This window comes from Homo sapiens, chromosome X, assembly GCF_000001405.40.
Source record: "Homo sapiens chromosome X, GRCh38.p14 Primary Assembly".
Taxonomy (NCBI): domain Eukaryota; kingdom Metazoa; phylum Chordata; class Mammalia; order Primates; family Hominidae; genus Homo; species Homo sapiens.
In genome coordinates this window covers 40,101,369-40,118,562 of record NC_000023.11, presented here as the reverse complement: position 1 = coordinate 40,118,562, position 17,194 = coordinate 40,101,369, and the positions used below count along the sequence as shown (strand labels likewise).

Below are 17,194 nucleotides of genomic sequence, written 5' to 3'. Positions count from 1 at the left end.
GGGCACAGTGGCTCACACCTATAATTCCAGCACTTTGGGAGGCCGAGACGGGTGGATCACCTGAGGTCAGGAGTTCGAGACCAGCCTGGATAACATGGCAAAACCCCATCTCTACTAAAAATACAAAAAAAAATTAGCCAGGTGCGGCGGTGGGCGCCTGTAATCCCAGCTACTCAGGAGGCTGAGGCAGGAGAGTCACTTGAACCTGGGAGGCGGAGGTTGCAGTGAGCTGAGATCGCGCCACTGCACAACAGCCTGGGGGATAAGAGCAAAACTCTGTCTCAGAAAAAAATAAATAAAATAAATAAAAGAATGTCTTGAACTGCAAGAAGAGGAAAGAAAGTGAAAGCTCACACCTGAGGGGAGGACAGAAAGGTCAGAAGGGTTGTGACTCCCCGCCTCCCAAAAAGATCCCCTCAGTGCTACCCTTAAAGTCACTTTCCTGAAAGGGGGGGTCCTTGCCTTGGGGGAGGAGACAATTTCAGTTCTATTATCTCAGTCATCCAGAAAGACTTCTCTGTGCCTGTGGTGTGTTAGAGAGAAGACAGATAGGGAGGGAGGAAAAGGGGTGGGGGGGGTGGAGAGAGAGAGAGAGAGAGAGAAAGAGTGCGAGCATAGTATACTTCCTGGGAAACTATCTCTCGAATAGTAGTTCTAGGAAGCCTCATGCCAGAGGGCAGTAGTACTGGCCTCTGCCTTCTTGATGGTGCCCTTGGACGTCAGAAAGAGGAGGAAGCCTCAGGGATTGGCAGAGACATTTGAGAGTTTCAGAAGCTGAAGTCCAGAGAGGGTGAGCGACTTGCCCAAGGTCACACACCAAGAAAGCAAGCATTAGAAAGGGGATCGAGTGTCCCCTCCATGGTTTTTCCATGATCGTGTACCACCCTTTCACTTTACAAAGAGCCTAGTGTTGCCACCAAAATAGCTGAATTACCTCATTTTTGAAAGGCGTTATGAATTCACTTCTATTATGTGGAATGGGGCAGAGATGTTGTGAGCAGGCATGACATTATAATTCATATTCCACTTCTTCTATTTATCTTTGCTGGGTTTTGTGTATCTTTGGAAGCAGCCTTAAATCATTATTGGAACAAAGTAGGGAGAAAAATAATAATATGTAATTACAAATGAGGAATAGACCGTATGATCCTATTAATTGCCTTCCCTGCAATCTTTATTTTTGGTATTTTCAGAATAATTAACGGCTTAGGTCTCGATTGGTGGAGGTGGTGGGTTAGCACTGAACTCTAAACAGTAACATCACCTACTCCAGGAATGGCCCAGTGCGATCTGACACCTGGGACGCTTTCAGGGCAACACCAAGGGCAATGCTCCAGTCTGTATTTACTCTCTTCTGAGGAGAAACTCTGGCAGCAGCTGGAAAATAAAACCCAAAGCAAGGAAGAAGCCGAAAAGAAGAAATACTCAAATACGAGGCGCATTAATCATCGGTGTCAGATCTAGAGCAGAGGACAATGGCTGGTTTGAAGAAAGACTGAACCTAAATTATCTTGGAAACTGATCTTCTCTCCTCCGGGTTCCCTGTGCCTGCAAGCAGGGGTCCCGGTGCAGCCACTGGCATGGAACCGATGGGGGCATCCACTGGCTGACCAGCATGCTTTGTCACAGGACAGGTTAGAGATGACCACCTTCTGTCTGTGGATCATCCATAGCTTCTGCTTAGGAAGCTACAGAAGAGAAAAGGCCTCTCACAGGGACCTGCAGGACAAATTCATTGCCCATCGTGTCCTCAGGGGACATCATTTGCATGCCAGGATGCAGTAAGGCCACTGCCTTCAGATCCAAATAAAGCACCCAATTAGCATGAACTTGTGCAATTGGCAGAGTAATGAAGCTGACCACAGGTGCCTGGAAAGTCCGAAATTTAGTTGCTAGTGTTGCACCGTGATGGCAGGGGCTGTGACGGCATGAATAAGTCTGGGCTTTGGGAATGGGCAGTGAGCTTCCAGGCAAGCAGGCAAATTAATTATCCTCTAAGCCTCAGTTTCCCCATCTGAAATGGGAATAATAATAGTACCTTTATTATAGGACAGTTTTTTTTTTTTGAGACAGAGTCTTGCACCGTTGCCCAGGCTGGAGTGCAGTGGCGCTATCTCAGCTCACTGCAAGCTCTGCCTCCTGGTTTCACACCATTCTGCTGCCTCAGCCTCCCGAGTAGCTGGGACTACAGGCGCCCACCACCACACATGGCTAATTTTTTGTATTTTTAGTAGAGACGGGGTTTCACGGTGTTAGCCAGGATGGTCTCGATCTCCTGACCTCGTGATCCACCCGCCTCGGCCTCCCAAAGCACTGGGATTACAGGCGTGAGCCACCGCGCCCAGCCATATAGGACAGTTTTCTATATGACATGAGATTATTAATGTGTATAAAATGTTTAGAACTGTGCCTGGCAGATAGAAAGCCCTTAATAAATTCTAGCTATTGTTCTTCTAGGAGCTGAAGAACATTAGTGACTCTCTTTTCCTCAAATCCCAAGAGCTCTTCTGCTTCAGAAGAGCTGTGTGATGAGTTCTTCCCATGTTATCCCTTCGTGAACTACCTTTTCCCATGGTAAGGACAAGAGTAGTCTTTATGGAAGCTCAAAACGGGGAAAAGTGTTGCCCAGGAATATGAAAGGGCAAGGTAGCTTATAATCTCGCCAGACATTGAGCCATAATTTAGTATTGGTGGAGGTACAGGTATTTTTCAAACAGAATCTATTTGTTCTGGGGAGGAAGTCCTTCCCTTGAACATCTTGGCCCCACACTTTTTTTTTTTTTTTTGAGACACAGTCACACTCTGTCACCCAGGCTGGAGTGCAGTGGTGCGATCTCGGCTCACTAGAGTTTCCGCCTCCTGGGTTCAAGCGATTCTTGTGCTTCAGCCTCCTGAATAGCTGGGATCACAGGCGTGCACCACCACACCCAGCTAATTTTTTTATTTTTAGTAGAGGCGAGGTTTACGCCATGTTGGCTAGGCTGGTCTTGAACTCCTGACCTCAAGCGATCCGCCTACTTCCACCTCCCAAAGTGCTGGGATTACAGGCGTGAGCCACCGAGCCCAGGCCGGCCCCACACTTTTTCAAGGCTTACCTGGAAGGAAGGCAACTCTTCATTCAGATGATCAATTCTTAGGTTCCCATGGTGAACACAACAGATGAGCTGAGGCCTGCTGATCCCAGAAAGAAAGAAACTCCTTTTATGATACTTACTGCAGTTGGCGAGTTGCCAGGATGGGCCCAGAAGGATGCAATTGCAGAAGCTATGTAGGATCTGGTCCCAGAAATAGTTAAAGGTTTGGGGAAACAGTGCATATGCATGACAGACAAACAATATACCCTATGGGAAAGAGCCTAGGTTTGGAGTCAGGTAGAATCCCCGTAGCCACACTCTCCTAGATTAGCCATGTGTTTTGGCGCAGTGGCTCACGCCTGTAATCCCAGCACTTTGGGAGGCCGAGGTGGGCAGATCACAAGGTCAAGAGATTGAGACCATCCTGGCTAACACAATGAAACCCCGTCTCTACTAAAAATACAAAAAATTAGTCGGGCGTGGTGGCAGGTGACTGTAGTCCCAGCTACATGAGAGGCTGAGGCAGGAGAATGGCATGAACCCGGGAGGTGGAGCGTGCAGTGAGCCGAGATCTCACCACTGCACTCCAGCCTGGGCGACACAGTGAGACTCCAACTCAAAAAAAAAAAAAAAAAAAAAGTGAATGGTAATACCTAAGCCATAGGGTTATTTTGGGGTGTGAGTGAGATAACTTGGAAAAGTACCTGATAAAGTAACTGAAATGAACAAAGGTCCTTAATAAACAGTAGCTATTTTTATCACATAGGAATTATTCATTGTTAAAAGACTTGCTTTGCTATCAAAAACAGCGCAGGGACACAGTTACTGTTAGAGGTCAAATGGCATGGAATTCAGAGAACTCCAATTGCCCAGGGTCAGCTGTGAGAAGAACCTACACTTCTGGTTTCTTAGGGTCTCAAGGAGAAAGACAGTCTCAATCTTCTGCCACTAAGTTAAGGACCAAATGATTGGCAATAGGCAAAGTACTCTAAGAAGGCTCTGGTTTGGGTTTTGTCTTCCTTTTGGCTTTCTCATCTCCTGGGGATGATATTCTGCAGGACTTAGTTAAGGACAGGACTCCCAAGGCCTCCCCACCAGCATGCACACCAGGTCACTTGGCTCCTCCAGCCGACAGAGACCTGTACACAGGTGTCCCATACTCCCACGGGCCTCCCCAAAAGACAGTGTCTCCCCCAGCCTTATGCTTCACTTTCCTAATTTCTTCTGCCCCAATCCTCACCAGAACTACAGAGCCACTCCCCACCAGTCCAGGTACCCCCTTTCCTATAGCACCCTCTCCACAACTGTCTTGTTCTCTTGAACCTGGTTTCTTCTCTAGCCAGGATATAGAATACCGATTCAGTTAGCAAAAATGTATTAAGTGGCTGGCTACAGTGGCTCACGCACTTTGGGAGGCTGAGGTGGGCAGATCACCTGAGGTCAGGAGTTCGAGACCAGCCTGGCCAACATGGTGAAACCCTGTCTCTACTAAAAACACAAAAAGTAGCCAGGCTTGGTGGCACACACCTGTAATCCCAGCTACTCAGGAGACCAAGGCAGCAGAATCACTTGAACCCGGGTGGCAGAGATTGCAGTGAGCTGAGATCGTGCTGCTGCATTCCAGCCTGGGTAACAGAGTGAGACTCTATCTCAAAAAAAAAAGAAAGAAAGAAAGAAAAAAAAAGTATTAGGCATGCAATACTTCATTTATTGTTTATCAGATTTTTTTTTCATCAATATGTGGTGAGCACCATGCTAGGCACTGGGCACATACAGCCAGAAACAAAATTCTGAGAACATTATGGATATATGTACATCGCTGCACACTGATGCAAGCTTAGCACCTGGTGATGATACACTGTACCATTATGGACGATACGGTCTTGCTGAGGGAGGTGACCTCCCAGGGACCAACCCGCAGAGCCTATTCAGGAGCTGATAGCAGGCCTGTGTGGTTGGCCTTCAGAGGGTGAGCTAAACACTGGCAAGCAATGAAGTGGCCTTGTTAAGGCATTTAGATTTTGTTCTAAGTGCAGTGGGAACTAGTGGGGTAGTGACATTCAACACTTTTTTTTTTTTTTTGAGACATGGTCTCCCTCTGTCACCCAGGCTGGAGTGCAATGGTGCAATCATGGCTCACTGCAGTCTGGACCTTCCAGGGTTAAGCAATCCTCCCACCTCAGCCTCCTGAGTAGCTGGGACTACAGGCGTGCACCACCACACTTGACTACTCTTTTTTTTTAAGTGGAGATGAGGTCTTGATCCTGTCTCAAAATAAATAAATAAATAAATAAATAAATAAATAAATAAGATCTTTCTAGCTGCCACGTTGCGGGTGGACTGGAGGATAGCAAAAGTGGCAGCACAGAGATTGCTAGAATAATCATCCTGTATAATAATCCAGGCCCAAGATGGTGGCCTGGCCTCAGGTGGATGTAGGAAAATGGGAAGAAGTAGGCTTACTAGATAGACTATTTGGAAGTAGAATGGGTTAGCTTTGCCAGTGGACTGGAGGAAGGTGAGGGGGAGATGAATGAAAATGGGTCAAAAATGGCCCCCTAGGATTCTGCTTTAAGCACCTGAGTGGGTGAGCCATTTTCTGTGATGGGGAAGGGAGTTAAAGCAAAGAGCAGGTTCTAAAGGAAAAGCTCTTCTCTATCTAAGAGACATTTGTCCTGCTCACCACTGTTTCCCTAGCACCCGCTACAAGGCCTGGCATTTATTAAATGCCCCCAAATATTTGTAAATTAATTCCTCTTTTTAGAATTCAGTTGTGGCTGGGCGCGGTGCTACACTTGTAATCCCAGCACTTTAGGAGGCAGAGGCGGGTGGATTACTTGAGGTCAGGAGTTCGAGACACATGCCAACGAGGCAGTGTGGCAAAGTGATTAGGACCATGGACTCTGAAGATAGGACTGCCTGGATTTGAATCCTAGCACCACCATTTTCTAGGAATGTTCAGTAACTTCTCTGATAGTTTCCTCATCTGGAAAAAATGTACATAATAACTCTGCCTACCTTATAGGGCAGTTGTAAGGATTAATAGTTAATTTATAGAAAGCACTTTGAAGAGAGCTTCAACCTAACAGGCGTGATGTAAATGCTTGCTATTGTTATTAAGCTGAGCGTAGATGCAAAGTTGAGATACCAAGTTTGAAGTTTGATATGGGGATTTGGAACTAGAAAAAAAAAATGTAAGTCATCAATAAGTAGGTGGTATTTAAAGCCATAAACCTGGATGAGACTGGTGGGGAGGAAGGGGAGGATCCAGGCCCAAGGCAACTGGTAGAGCATAGAAAAGCCCACAAAGAAATTGAAAGCGGTTCTCAGCTAGGATGAAAACCCTGTGAGCAAGCAGCTCAAGGGAGCAGTGGTCATGGTGTGGTAAATGCTTCTGGGAGGCCAAGGAAGGCAAGGACTGAAAAACAACGCCGCCCCCCCACCCCGGCCCCCACTCCTGGCAACAAGGAAGTAACCAGTGATCTTGAGCACTTTCTGCAGAATGGCCAGGGAGGATGGAGGGGTTGAGGAGTGAGATAAATGACCATGTGTCTATACAGTGAAATTCCACCAGCCTGGAAATTGACAAGGCCTGTCTCCATGTGTTGCTAGAAAAGTAAGATATATTGATAAGTTTCATAGGTGAGGTACAGAACAGATTGTGCAGTGTGTTCCCATTTCTGAAAGTAGACCAGAGGACATGCATATCTACAGAGAAACTGGGGGGGAAGGGGGCACTCCCCTGCAGTGTTGGAAATCTTTAATGCACACACAAATATGTGTCTATATTCCCCCCTATTTTGTTTTTACACAAACTGTAGCAGATGGTACACACTGCTCTGTACCTTATTTTTTTTTCCTTAACTGTAGACCTTGGGGGTCTTTCCATATCAATACACAGAGCAGATCTTCTTTATTATTTTAACAGCTACAGAATATTCCATTGTATGCATGTGCCATCAATGTCACTGCTGACTCTTTAGGTTGTTTATAATCCTATGCTGTTATAAACAAAGCTGCACTTATTCCAGTGTCTTAAAATAACTTCATGACTAGCTGATTTTTAGAGTGAACATGAGGTAAGCCTGCAGAAATTCCACATGGATGGAGACACCTCTTTCAAGAAGTCCAGGTGTACAGGGAAACAGATAAATAGGGAACCAGCAAAGGAGATGCGAGGTTAAGAAGGGGCATTATAAAGATGGGTGATGCTTCAAGCAAAGAAGTATAACAAGGGGCCTTTCAAGAAAGGGTATGGGGGGTGAGGGTGGAGGCAGCAAGGAAAAGCCTCTAAGAAGGTGATATTTTAGCAGGTATGAAACGATGACTTAAAACAGTGTGAGATCCTATGTTGGGTGCTGCGGGAACATCAGGATGGATGGACAGACACTGGCCTTCTGGAAGGTTCAACTCCAGCAGGGAAGCTGTGCTGTTTCACAAATTGGCTGCAATATTGTTAGAAAGTGGTTGATTCTCGGCCGGGCGTGGTGGCTCACGCCTGTAATCCCAGCACTTTGGGAGGCCGTGGCTGGTGGATCACCTGAGGTCAGGAGTTTGAGACCAGCCTGACCAACATGGTGAAACCCCGTCTCTACTAGAAATACAAAAACATTAGCTGGGTGTAGTGGCGGGAGCCTGTAATTCCAGCTACTTGGGAGGCTGAGGCAGGAGAATCACTTGAACCCGGGAGGCGGAGGTTGCAGTGAGCCAAGATCATGCCATTGCACTCCAGCCTGGGCGACAAGAGTGAGACTCCGTCTCAAAAAAAAAAAAAAAAAAAAAAAAAAAAAAAAAAAAAAAAAAAAAAAAAAAAAAAAAAAAGAAAAAGGAAAAAAGAAAAAAAAGAAAAGAAAAGAAAATGGTTGATTGTCTTAGAGGTACAGGATCTACAAACTTCCCACTGTGGTCCCTGCTGGTGAAGTGTGCTCAGAGTTCCAGAAGTTCCCTGAGTTCCTGATAAGACAGGAAGCTAGGGGAGAGGAGAATATTTTGCCTGAAATGTTAAGATTTTTTTCCCCCATAGGGATTCAATGACACGCATGCCCTGGAAGGTTTCAAAAATTGGAAATAAATAAAAATTCCAAGAAGAATTTATATTCCTGATGGCTATGCTGATGGTCTTGTAAATTGTATATTTAATCAAAGACACTCAAATGTCTTTTTTTTAACTATTGAAGAGCTATTTAAATGTCAACATAAGTGATTCCCTCCCAAATAGTGCTGTTTATACATTACTTCCCCTAATAGACCATAATGATTCATAAGGAGGCATTTCTCGCCTCTAAATTGTAGGCCTATTGAAATATAAATTAAGATGATAAATAATTTGACCTTACCTGAGAGTACTAAGTATTTACATGTGTCAAATACGAAATTACCCTGAACATCATGGTCCCTAAAAAGGCAGCCTTCCTCTCCCGGGTGAATTCATTAAATGAAACGGGTTTATAAATTTCTCTTAGAGTGTGGAAGAGAGAGAGAACACACAAAAGAACGGGCCCGGGGACCCGGCCGTCCCCGCCCTCCAGCTTTCCCATGAGGCCCGGGGGGCCGCGGAACCCACTCCCCGGCGGGGAGAGGCGGGTGCAGACCGCCCCCGCGCGCTTCCCGCGCTCCCCTCTCCCCCTCCTTCTGCGACGCCGCAGGAGTTTCAAAACATGGAGTTTCCACAGGAACTTTGCCAGGCCGAGCTCGCAGCCCTCCCGGGCTCCCGCAGCGGGATTCGCCGAGTCGGCGGCGCCGCGCGGCCTCCCCGCCCCCCACGCCCTCCGGGGAGCCGCTGACCCGGCGGCCTCGGGCAGCTCCGCAAAACCGCTCGGTGGCTGTAGAACCTGGGGAGGCGCGGGGGCTCCGGGGCTCCGCACCCCCGCCGACCCCGTCCGGGCCCCGGAGGGTGGCAGCCTGGCGCCCTCCGCGGGGCCGGCGCCGAGTCCGTCCGCCGGCTCTGTTGGCTTGGCTCCGCCGCCCGGGGCCGGGGCCGAGGAGCGGAGGTCGCCGGCCATGGCGAGCGAGGCTGGGTACCTGGCCGCCCGCTCTGGAGTTTTGTTTTGAAGCCCGGCGTGGGGGAGGGGCAGCACCTCATCAAGGAGAAATTTCCTGTTCGCAAGCAAGACTCCGCTTGCAGAGTTTCTGTCCTGCCCTTGACCTGACAAGTGGATCTCGGCTGCGCGGGTCCCCGAGAGTCGAGCCAGCCGCGCCAGGAGCGCGCGGGGGTGGGGGTGGGGGCACCCGCGCCGAGGACCGGGGAGCCCGGCTGAGCGGGGCCGACGCCTGCCCTCCCGGTTCCCGGGCGCACCCGGGAGCGCAGAGCCGAGCGGTGACTAATCTGCGGCTCCGGGCCTCTTGGCGCGCAGCCCGGGTTCGCCTCCCGCCCCCTCGTCTCTCCTCCTCCCCGCCGCCCTCCCAGCCCAGCAGCGCAGCGCTCCGCCGAGCGAATCGTGCGGGCCAGGGCCGCCGCCGCCGCCGCGTTCCCGGGAGTGTGGGAAGCGGGTCGAGGCGGGTGGCTCGGGAGCCGTCTCCAGTCGGCCTCCTTCGACCCGGGACCGAATGTGCATGTGTTACCTTCCCCTTAAGCACTTTGATCAGCGTTTTCTCCTCGCAGCCGAGGAGCCAGAGCGAACCGGGGCTTTTAACCCCCTGCGTGCCGGCTCCACCGTGGGCTGAGGGAAGAGGGTGCCGCAGGGAGATTGGTCGATACAGGGTGCGATCAGTTTGGTTTAGCAAGCCTGAGCCAGGAGGAGCCCGGCCGGATCCGAGGAGCTTGCCCAAGCGCGGGACGCTCTCCTGTGGAGAGCAGGCCGCTGAGGCCCGAGGCGACTCGTTAATGTTCAAGCTCTCCCAGGGGCAGCGCTGTAACGCGACCTGCCTGGCCAGGCAAGGTGCGGGCTTGAAAGGCCCGGCGGGCGGAGGCTTCTGGAGGGGCCCGGGAGGCCATGGCGGGACCCGCCTTCACGCACCCGGTTCGTTGGCGCGTGGGTGGCTCCTAACCCCGGTGGAGGCTTTGCGCTCGCCTCGCGGACTCGGCTCTGGCCGCCGCTCCCTCCCCTGGTCCAGGCCTCGCTTGGGAGTTAATGATTGATTTACTGGCTCCGCGCGGCCGGCGCCCTCCCAGCTATTTGTCCAAGCTGAGGAGTTGCTGGCGAGCAGCGCAGTAGGCCAAGAGAGCGGGGGTCGCCGGGGAAGGGAAGCCACGCTGCCGACGGGAAGGAGAGGCCACTAGATTAGCTCCCACTTGGCGGCTCTAGCTGTGTCGGGGCAAACCCTCAGGAAGCCGGGCCCGGGCGAAGGGAGCATTGGGAAGCTCCACATGTAAATGGGTTGGCAGCTGGCGATTAGGCCGCCCGATTTTATGAGTCATAATGGGCCTCCCGCCTGGCCCTCAACCTGCTCGCTGTGGATCCGGCGCGCTTGGGGCCCAAGTGGTGGACCATTCCGGCCGCGCAGAGGGACATGCTTCTGGGGGCCCAGGCCGCCGAAGGAGTTGAGAAGGACTTTCTCTCCTTTCTTGTAGAAGGCAACACAAACACCCTAAATCAAACCGCTCCGACAATCGAAGGCTCCACACAGACACATCAATAAGGATTTCGCCTCCCGCGTATGAACGCACAGAAACACTTGTCCTATTTTTATGCAAATGACACCACACAAATAGATCTCGCAGGCCCGGGAGAGGGGCGGGAGGAGGAGGGGCGCCGCCACCCCAGCCAGGGGGCTGTGAGAGGGGAGGGGCGCCAAACCCGCACCCCAGGGCCCGCGCCGGCTCGGGCGCAGCGGGGCTGGCACTGGTCAGGAGGCCCGCCCCGCGGGCAGTGGCTCCCTGCCAGCGCCGCCAAGTCGGCCGCGTCCCCAGGCTGCCTGCAGAGGCGGATTAGGGAAGGAGCGAAGCGAGCCTGTGACTAATCGCGGGGCCTCGGACCGGAGCACCAAGGCCATGTGCGACTGACAGGACCGACACTAGCAGAGGACACGGCGACGCCTCGCTTAATTGCAGGCTTAAAAAATTGCCGCCTGAGCAGCTCTGGCGCGGAGAGCCACGGCTTGCGCGTCGAGCTAGGGAGCGCGCGCGCTTGGGTGGGGGCGGGGGTTCCTGCTCTCTCGCTCCAAGGTTGGAACGTTTGGCGTCTCCTGGACCGAGGGACCTGGCCCTTGCGTCCCCCACTCTGCTGGGTCGCCCCGCCCCGCGTGCCGACCAAGTGTGGCTGAGCCCGCCAGGAGAGTACGATCCAGCCTCCAGGGCTAGGTTTCTGACCCGACCCTTTCCCCCTAAATCCGACGTTTCCCCGCTTTCGCCCTAGATCCTATACGGGAGGGGGCTGTGCAGTTGGGGGTGACAGATTCCAACAAATCCTTAAAATAAAAACCACACGCACGAAAGAAACACTTTCTCTTCCCTCCCCTTCTTCACCGACTGATACAAAGCCCCGAATGACCAAAGGGAAAGAGGTAAGTCGGGGCTGCAGGGAGCAAGGTCATCGAGTGCCAAAACCTCGGGGCTCACAGACACGCACTCTGAGTTCTTCACCCCTGGTCACAGTCTCTGTGGCCCAGACCTTCCTGGAGCACTGGGGCCTCTCGGGGGCGAAGGGAGAAGCGTCGGGAGGCCGGCGGCTCTGTGTTGGGGAGGGGGAGTGGGAGGGAGCGGAGAACCCAGCGAGAGAAGTTTCCACCACGCTCTGGCCGGCTACTGCCAAAATCCCCGGACCCCTCCCCGCCTGCACCGCCTTCCGTTGCCACCACAAGTTTGGTTTAACGAGAGCTCGGGACAAAAGCAAACGTTTTCTATAGACCCCGAAAACAAAGGGGAAAGAGACGCGCGGGGCCGCGGAGAAGCGGCTGCTAGCGTAATGGTGCCAGGCCGAAAGCAGAGCATTAAAACTGCAAAAGCCGCGCGGGCGGGAGGAAGTGCGAGGCGGGAGGCGGGAGCGCGGGGAGGGCGGGAGGCGGGAGCGCGGGCGGGGGAGGGGCGCTGCGCCATGTTTCCGTGTCACCCGCCGAGTCGTCGGCGCTGGGCTCGGCCGCCGGCTCCCGCCTGCCTCCGTAACAGCAGAAAGCGTGCGATTAGCAGCCAGACAGGCGGGGACTCCGGGCCCGCGGGGCCGCCGCACACGCCGCCCGCGGCCCGAGCCCGCGCCCCCCGCCCGCCGGGTAATCATCCTCCTCGCTGCAGCGCTGTGTGCACTCTCATTAGAGTAGGGAGGCTTTTCTCTGTGCACTCGCTCGGCTCCCGCTGGCAAAACAACGCCTTCCCGGGCCGGGCCCTGGGCCAGGAGAGTCGGGGAGGGTGGGACGGAGGTGGGGGGTGGGTGAGGCAGGGCAAGCCTTGCAGGTCAGCTCCGCCGCCGGATCTCCTCCGGACACGGAGGAGACGGGGAGCGTCCATTGGCCCTTCCCTAGGTGGAGTGGCAAAGTCCGAGCCCCGCAGCCGACCCTACGTCCCTACGTGGAGGGGGGCGGGTGGAGTACCGGTGCCGCCATGACCTACTCCCGTCCCCCGCCGGAGGCTAGAGTAGGGCTGAGGGGGAGATGAGTGTGTCTGGTTTGGAGAGCGGGGGCGGACACTGGGAAGGCTCCCAAAACAGGTTTTGCCCCATCTGTTTTATGAACGACCTCTTCAGGCCAGAAGCCGGATCCCAGGGGTGGCGGCCCTTCGACCTTCGAAAGGAGACCCGGGCCCCCAGCAGGCCCTCTGGCTTCGCGCTCTGTCGCCTGCAGTGGGTGGGAGATGGGGGTGGCCGAGGCTTGGCTGCTCCTGGCCCTGAGCTTCGGAGCCCTATTTTCTCCTCCGCGATCTCTGCACACAACAGTAGGCAGCCTCTCACAGCAGCACGCGCCCAGCTGCAGGGCCTGGGAGCAGGTGTTCCTGCCCGGCCGGAGTGGCGGCTCCGCGCCCCTCCGGTCCCAGCTGCGGAGCTGCGAGCGGTGCGGGGGGGCGTGCTTATGGTGGTAGCAGAGGGACAGGGACATCTCATCGGACCGCAGGAAGGGTCCTCTCGGCTTACACCGGGATACCGCAGGGCCCGGGTGGTCGCCTGGGGCGAGGAGGGATCAGGGGTGACGCGCGGCCAGCCCTCGTCTGGAACAGCCCTGGGGCCAGCGGAGGCCGCTCGGGGCGGCGCGAGGGCTTCCGGTCCCCGTGACTGCGGCGGCGGCGGCGGGGCGGCCGCGAGGAGCACCCTCCCCTGGCTGCTGCCGCCGCGCGGCTCTCGGAACGGCGCCCCAGGAGCCTCTCTGCGTCTGGCAGCGCCGCTTTCGGCTTGCGCTGGGATGGGGGCCGCAGGGTGGTCTCGGCCCAGCCCCCACGGGGAGGGGCGGGGAGGCGGGGTCCGGAGACCCCGCGGGAACGGCCGCGCGCCTCCCAGCACCCCCTCCTCGCCGCCGCCGCCGCTGCTGCTGATATGGCGGGCACGTGAAGCGCAGCTTGGCGCCCCGGCGCCAGCCAGGGAGCGGCCTGCCCCGCCGACTCAGCTTACCCGCGGGCCCAGGAACGCGGAACCGAGCCTGGCCGGGCTCCGCGGAGCCCGCACCTCCGCCCGCAGCTCGCTGCGGCCCCGCACCCTCTCCCCGCCTGAGCCCGGCCTTGGGGCCGCGCCAGGCGGCTCGCCCGAGGGGAACTCGGGCTGACTAATGGGACGCGTGTGGGCCTTACGTGAGGCCCGGCTGTCAGCGGATACCCGCTTGCTCGGAGCTTAGACCGCGGCCAAGCTTTTCGGGGAAGGGCGAGAGGAGGGGTTTCCCCGCTGGGCGGTTTCAGCTCCCCAGGGACAATCCGTCCGCGGCAGGCCCCAACCTTTGGATCTTGCAGCCTGGCTTGGAGACGGTAGACTTGGCATGTGCCGGACGCCACGGTGCCGACCCGGTCGGGGGCAGGGGGTGGGAGCCTCGGGGTTGTGAGCTGGGGGTGGGCAGAGGCTAGGTCAGCTTGGTCTGGGGCGCCCGCCTTGAGGTTTGCATTCTGGGGCTAGCCACTGGGCCGGGGGGAATTTGCAGGGCGCTCTGAGGTCGTGGAGTCTGATACCAAAACCTTCCTCGACAAAGTCTTCCGGAAACCCCTTCGCGAAATTCCTGTGCGGAAAGAAGGATTTCTAAAACTCCCCGAGGGTCCGGTTCGGCTGGGAGCTTTCGGGTTCTAGGGAGTGTGATTTCCTTTCTCTCCCTTTATAGGGGCCTATAAATATCAGAAGAGTTTCTTCTTATTTCGCATTAACAACCACTTCATGTTGACATAGTTATATGACCCTCCCAAGTATAACTACCTGTTTAGTTTGAAGGCACTGAGTGCGATGGCGAAACACAAACATCGACCAGTAACTAAGAGAAGGAAAACCCAGCCGCGAGCTTGGGTTGGATACAGGATAAATCCTCATCACGCATCCCTGGTTTTATTCAGCCTAATTGCACTAGTAATCCTGCCCCCCGCGAGAAAGCCTGAAATCCTGCAGTCGAGGTGCGACTTTTCCTGGGGAGCCCCGCCAATGGGGGGTGGGTTGTCAGTGGAGGGGAGGTGGGTTTTAAATGTCACTTCCAAATGAAAATCTTTCTTTCTTTTCTTTTTCTCTTTTTCTTTTTTGATCCAGTTTTCGAAAAGAGCATTTTTGCGAGATAAGAAGTGACCGATCAAAATCGCTAAGGGGAGGTTGTAAGCAGCCGCTTTGCCCCAGCTTAGCGTTATCTTATCTCTCACACTTGCATGGCGGAAAAAAAAATTGGCTTATCTTTATCCCCACCCCCTTCTCGCCTTAATTGCTAAAAAACACTAGTGTGTTAAACCGGGAGGAAGGAGGTCTCTGGAGTGTCAGTGGAAAAGGAAGATTCAAAAATGTGGGCTCCCGGGGGAAGCAAGGGTGGCAGAATTTATTCTTTCCCCCAGGCCTTTCTGGTACAACACAGGGTGTAGTCCAGGGTGGAAGGCTGGGTGGCTCTTTTTTTAAATTATTATTTTAAGAACAAAATCTGGGCTTGGCCTTGGGTCGTGTGGCTTCCCCAGGCCTCGCTTTCTGAACTTCTCCCCTCCTTCATCTCTCAAAAGCTGCTGGTGGGTCTGGGTTGAGGCCTCTCACTCTGCCTTCATCCTCCCTCCTCTAGACACATCCTCCTTTTGGGGAGGGGGGGATGCAAGGCTAGGACACATAGCCTGCTGGAAATCATTAAAATATATGCGAGTGTCTGCAAACACACACTTTTAAATCATGGCGTTTCCCCTCCACGCTGGTCTATTTAAACTCCAGAGCGAGCTGGATCTCCTCCCTCTCAGTCGTTTGTCTGTGTCACCGACAGGCCGCTAATGGCCGGGCTTCCAGGCGCTGTGCATTATGCATTAGCCTCCTCCCTCCGCCGCACACAGAAGGTTCTGTCAGGCCGCACCACACAAACCACCCTGAGCCCCCCCACCCCACCCCCCGCACTCAGGGCCGGGGGCTGCGCGGCTGCTAACGCGCTGGGAACGCAGGTATGGAGAGGAGGATGAGCACCGAGAGCAGAGTGGTTCGGAAGGTGGAATGGGAGCGGGTGAAATGTGCCGAAGATTACACCGTTTGGAATGCCCAGTCCGTTGTGAGCCCCAAAGCTTTGCTCCTGGCTGCGACCTTCTCGAGGCAACCATCCCGCGCCACTCACCTCTGTGACCGACTTTGTTGGGGGCGGGAGGGCAGAGGTATTTAGAGACAGATCAGCACCGCTTTCCCTTCTGCTGGTCCGTACCCACCTTCCTGCTGCAGGCGAGGGGCTGGCAGAGCCTTCTCTACCCCTCCAGTTCGGGAGTGGTACCGCGAAGGGGTTCGGGGTGGTGCGTCTTCGCAGGGACCCGGTGGGAGTGGAGGAGGGAAGCTGGATACAAAATGGCTGGGGCCGGAGGCCGGCACACTGGGTCCGAAGGCGAGTAGTTGGTGGTTCCCCGCCCCCTCTCCCGGCGGTTCCCACTCACTGCCCCCAGCCGGGTAAAATATGCGCAGAAGGCGCCTTGCTAAATAAGCAGCCGAGGCGGGACGTGGCGTCCGGGTTTATCTGCAGGAGCACCCGGCCCAGCGCGGCGGCGTCGAGGGCTCTTAAGCCCTTGCCGAGCGCAAGAGGCGGCCAGCCTCCCAGAAGCCTCCTGTATTATGCCCATTTGGTCGACACCCAACCACCCTGCGGGCCCCCGTAGTGTAGATGCCAGTTCACCCACACGTGCCTGTGTTCGGGGAGCTCAGGGCCTGACCCAAATCGAGCCCAGACCAGAAATTCCAAGATGGTTGCTAGGAACCACGGAGAGGCTGCCCTTAGGGCCTTCCTTCCCCAAACACCCAATAACCCTCCAAAGGCTAGGAAGAAGAAAGAACAGTCATGTTCAGCCTGGCGACCCTTAAGTCCAGCAGTCTTCTGCCCTGGGAGGCAGCTACCTTTAGATGTTTCCAGATGAGTGAAATCCTGGGAGGAGGATGCGCCTCCTGTTTGTTACCTCGTTTGAGTTTCAGAGGGGAAGCCAGCTGTGCCTTGTGCTTGGAGGATGGGGCAGCGGATGTTTTTTAAAGTGCCATTGGATAAGCCCAGAGTTCTTGTACAAAGTGACCAGAAGACTATAAGTGTGGGTGTGTTTTTAAAGAAAGGCTACCTCACATTATGTAAAAATACATTATCTGTACTCATCCGAGTCCCACCTGTTCCAGTACCAAGTGTCATCGCCCTGAGAACAGCCTCCGAGGAGGACCATCGGAAGCCTACACATACGTTATAAGCTTTATGATGTGGATCCTAGTATACGTTATAAATAAATCTTGCACACAAGGTTAGAAGGCCAGGGTCCCCCCAAACACAGGATGCCTGGCCTTTCCCCTAGGCCAGGGTGGAGCTGGAGGTGTGTGGGAGAGGCCCTAGCGGGTCTTGCAGAGTCAACCTGCCTTGAGAAGGGCAGCCAGGCTCAAGGCCTGCTCCTAGAAGGGCCAGCTCGATTGCCCAGTTGCAGGGCCTGGTTAGCCTGAGGTCGAGTGGTTTGTTATAATCAGGAGACACTTCCATGGGAAGGGAGATTGGTGGCGGAGGGGCAGCCCCCGCTGCTCCATCCGCAGCACCTCTCATTTCGGCACCTATTTCTTTATTTCTCCGTGGGCTGCACGGCCTCCCCTCCCATGCACTCCTTTGCTCACTCT

General features: G+C 54.6%; 1 protein-coding gene and 1 long non-coding RNA gene across 17 annotated transcripts in view, besides 12 other annotated features; both read left to right on the top strand.

Moving 5' to 3' along the window:
• The window catches only part of BCOR (BCL6 corepressor), a 126,032-nt gene that overhangs the window by 58,715 nt on the left and 50,123 nt on the right, over positions 1 to 17,194 (top strand). The gene's annotated exons all lie outside the window — the stretch shown is intronic.
• Positions 6,507 to 6,786: a silencer, noted in NCBI's record as "fragment chrX:39971030-39971309 (GRCh37/hg19 assembly coordinates)". NCBI's record gives its function as "represses an EF-1alpha promoter that drives an FKBP-Casp9 reporter gene in an ReSE screen in HepG2 liver carcinoma cells {active_cell/tissue: HepG2}" and the evidence as "EXISTENCE:reporter gene assay evidence [ECO:0000049][PMID:32094911]".
• Positions 9,325 to 9,374: a silencer, noted in NCBI's record as "silent region_20753". NCBI's record gives its function as "represses an Ori minimal core promoter by ATAC-STARR-seq in GM12878 lymphoblastoid cells {active_cell/tissue: GM12878}" and the evidence as "EXISTENCE:reporter gene assay evidence [ECO:0000049][PMID:35858748]".
• Positions 10,681 to 11,437: an enhancer, noted in NCBI's record as "H3K4me1 hESC enhancer chrX:39966379-39967135 (GRCh37/hg19 assembly coordinates)". NCBI's record gives its function as "activates a minimal SCP1, AML or CMV promoter by ChIP-STARR-seq in naive H9 embryonic stem cells {active_cell/tissue: H9 hESC(naive)}" and the evidence as "EXISTENCE:reporter gene assay evidence [ECO:0000049][PMID:30033119]".
• Positions 11,063 to 11,207: an enhancer, noted in NCBI's record as "145 bp enhancer 114 fragment used in the MPRA reporter construct; PK_construct_4984". NCBI's record gives its function as "activates an SV40 promoter by MPRA in K562 cells {active_cell/tissue: K562}" and the evidence as "EXISTENCE:reporter gene assay evidence [ECO:0000049][PMID:23512712]".
• Positions 11,127 to 11,142: a transcriptional cis regulatory region, noted in NCBI's record as "ZFP161 motif; enhancer activity is reduced when this motif is scrambled". NCBI's record gives its function as "necessary for full MPRA enhancer 114 activity {active_cell/tissue: K562}" and the evidence as "EXISTENCE:site-directed mutagenesis evidence [ECO:0005528][PMID:23512712]".
• Positions 11,933 to 11,992: a silencer, noted in NCBI's record as "silent region_20752". NCBI's record gives its function as "represses an Ori minimal core promoter by ATAC-STARR-seq in GM12878 lymphoblastoid cells {active_cell/tissue: GM12878}" and the evidence as "EXISTENCE:reporter gene assay evidence [ECO:0000049][PMID:35858748]".
• Positions 12,003 to 12,172: a silencer, noted in NCBI's record as "silent region_20751". NCBI's record gives its function as "represses an Ori minimal core promoter by ATAC-STARR-seq in GM12878 lymphoblastoid cells {active_cell/tissue: GM12878}" and the evidence as "EXISTENCE:reporter gene assay evidence [ECO:0000049][PMID:35858748]".
• On the top strand, positions 12,077 to 16,827 carry LOC107985687 (translation initiation factor IF-2-like). The gene has a single exon (NR_171574.1). It is a non-coding gene; the product is annotated as a translation initiation factor IF-2-like (long non-coding RNA).
• Positions 12,413 to 12,522: a silencer, noted in NCBI's record as "silent region_20750". NCBI's record gives its function as "represses an Ori minimal core promoter by ATAC-STARR-seq in GM12878 lymphoblastoid cells {active_cell/tissue: GM12878}" and the evidence as "EXISTENCE:reporter gene assay evidence [ECO:0000049][PMID:35858748]".
• Positions 12,623 to 12,672: an enhancer, noted in NCBI's record as "active region_29535". NCBI's record gives its function as "activates an Ori minimal core promoter by ATAC-STARR-seq in GM12878 lymphoblastoid cells {active_cell/tissue: GM12878}" and the evidence as "EXISTENCE:reporter gene assay evidence [ECO:0000049][PMID:35858748]".
• Positions 13,103 to 13,352: a silencer, noted in NCBI's record as "silent region_20749". NCBI's record gives its function as "represses an Ori minimal core promoter by ATAC-STARR-seq in GM12878 lymphoblastoid cells {active_cell/tissue: GM12878}" and the evidence as "EXISTENCE:reporter gene assay evidence [ECO:0000049][PMID:35858748]".
• Positions 13,443 to 13,622: a silencer, noted in NCBI's record as "silent region_20748". NCBI's record gives its function as "represses an Ori minimal core promoter by ATAC-STARR-seq in GM12878 lymphoblastoid cells {active_cell/tissue: GM12878}" and the evidence as "EXISTENCE:reporter gene assay evidence [ECO:0000049][PMID:35858748]".
• Positions 15,434 to 16,024: an enhancer, noted in NCBI's record as "H3K4me1 hESC enhancer chrX:39961792-39962382 (GRCh37/hg19 assembly coordinates)". NCBI's record gives its function as "activates a minimal SCP1, AML or CMV promoter by ChIP-STARR-seq in primed H9 embryonic stem cells {active_cell/tissue: H9 hESC(primed)}" and the evidence as "EXISTENCE:reporter gene assay evidence [ECO:0000049][PMID:30033119]".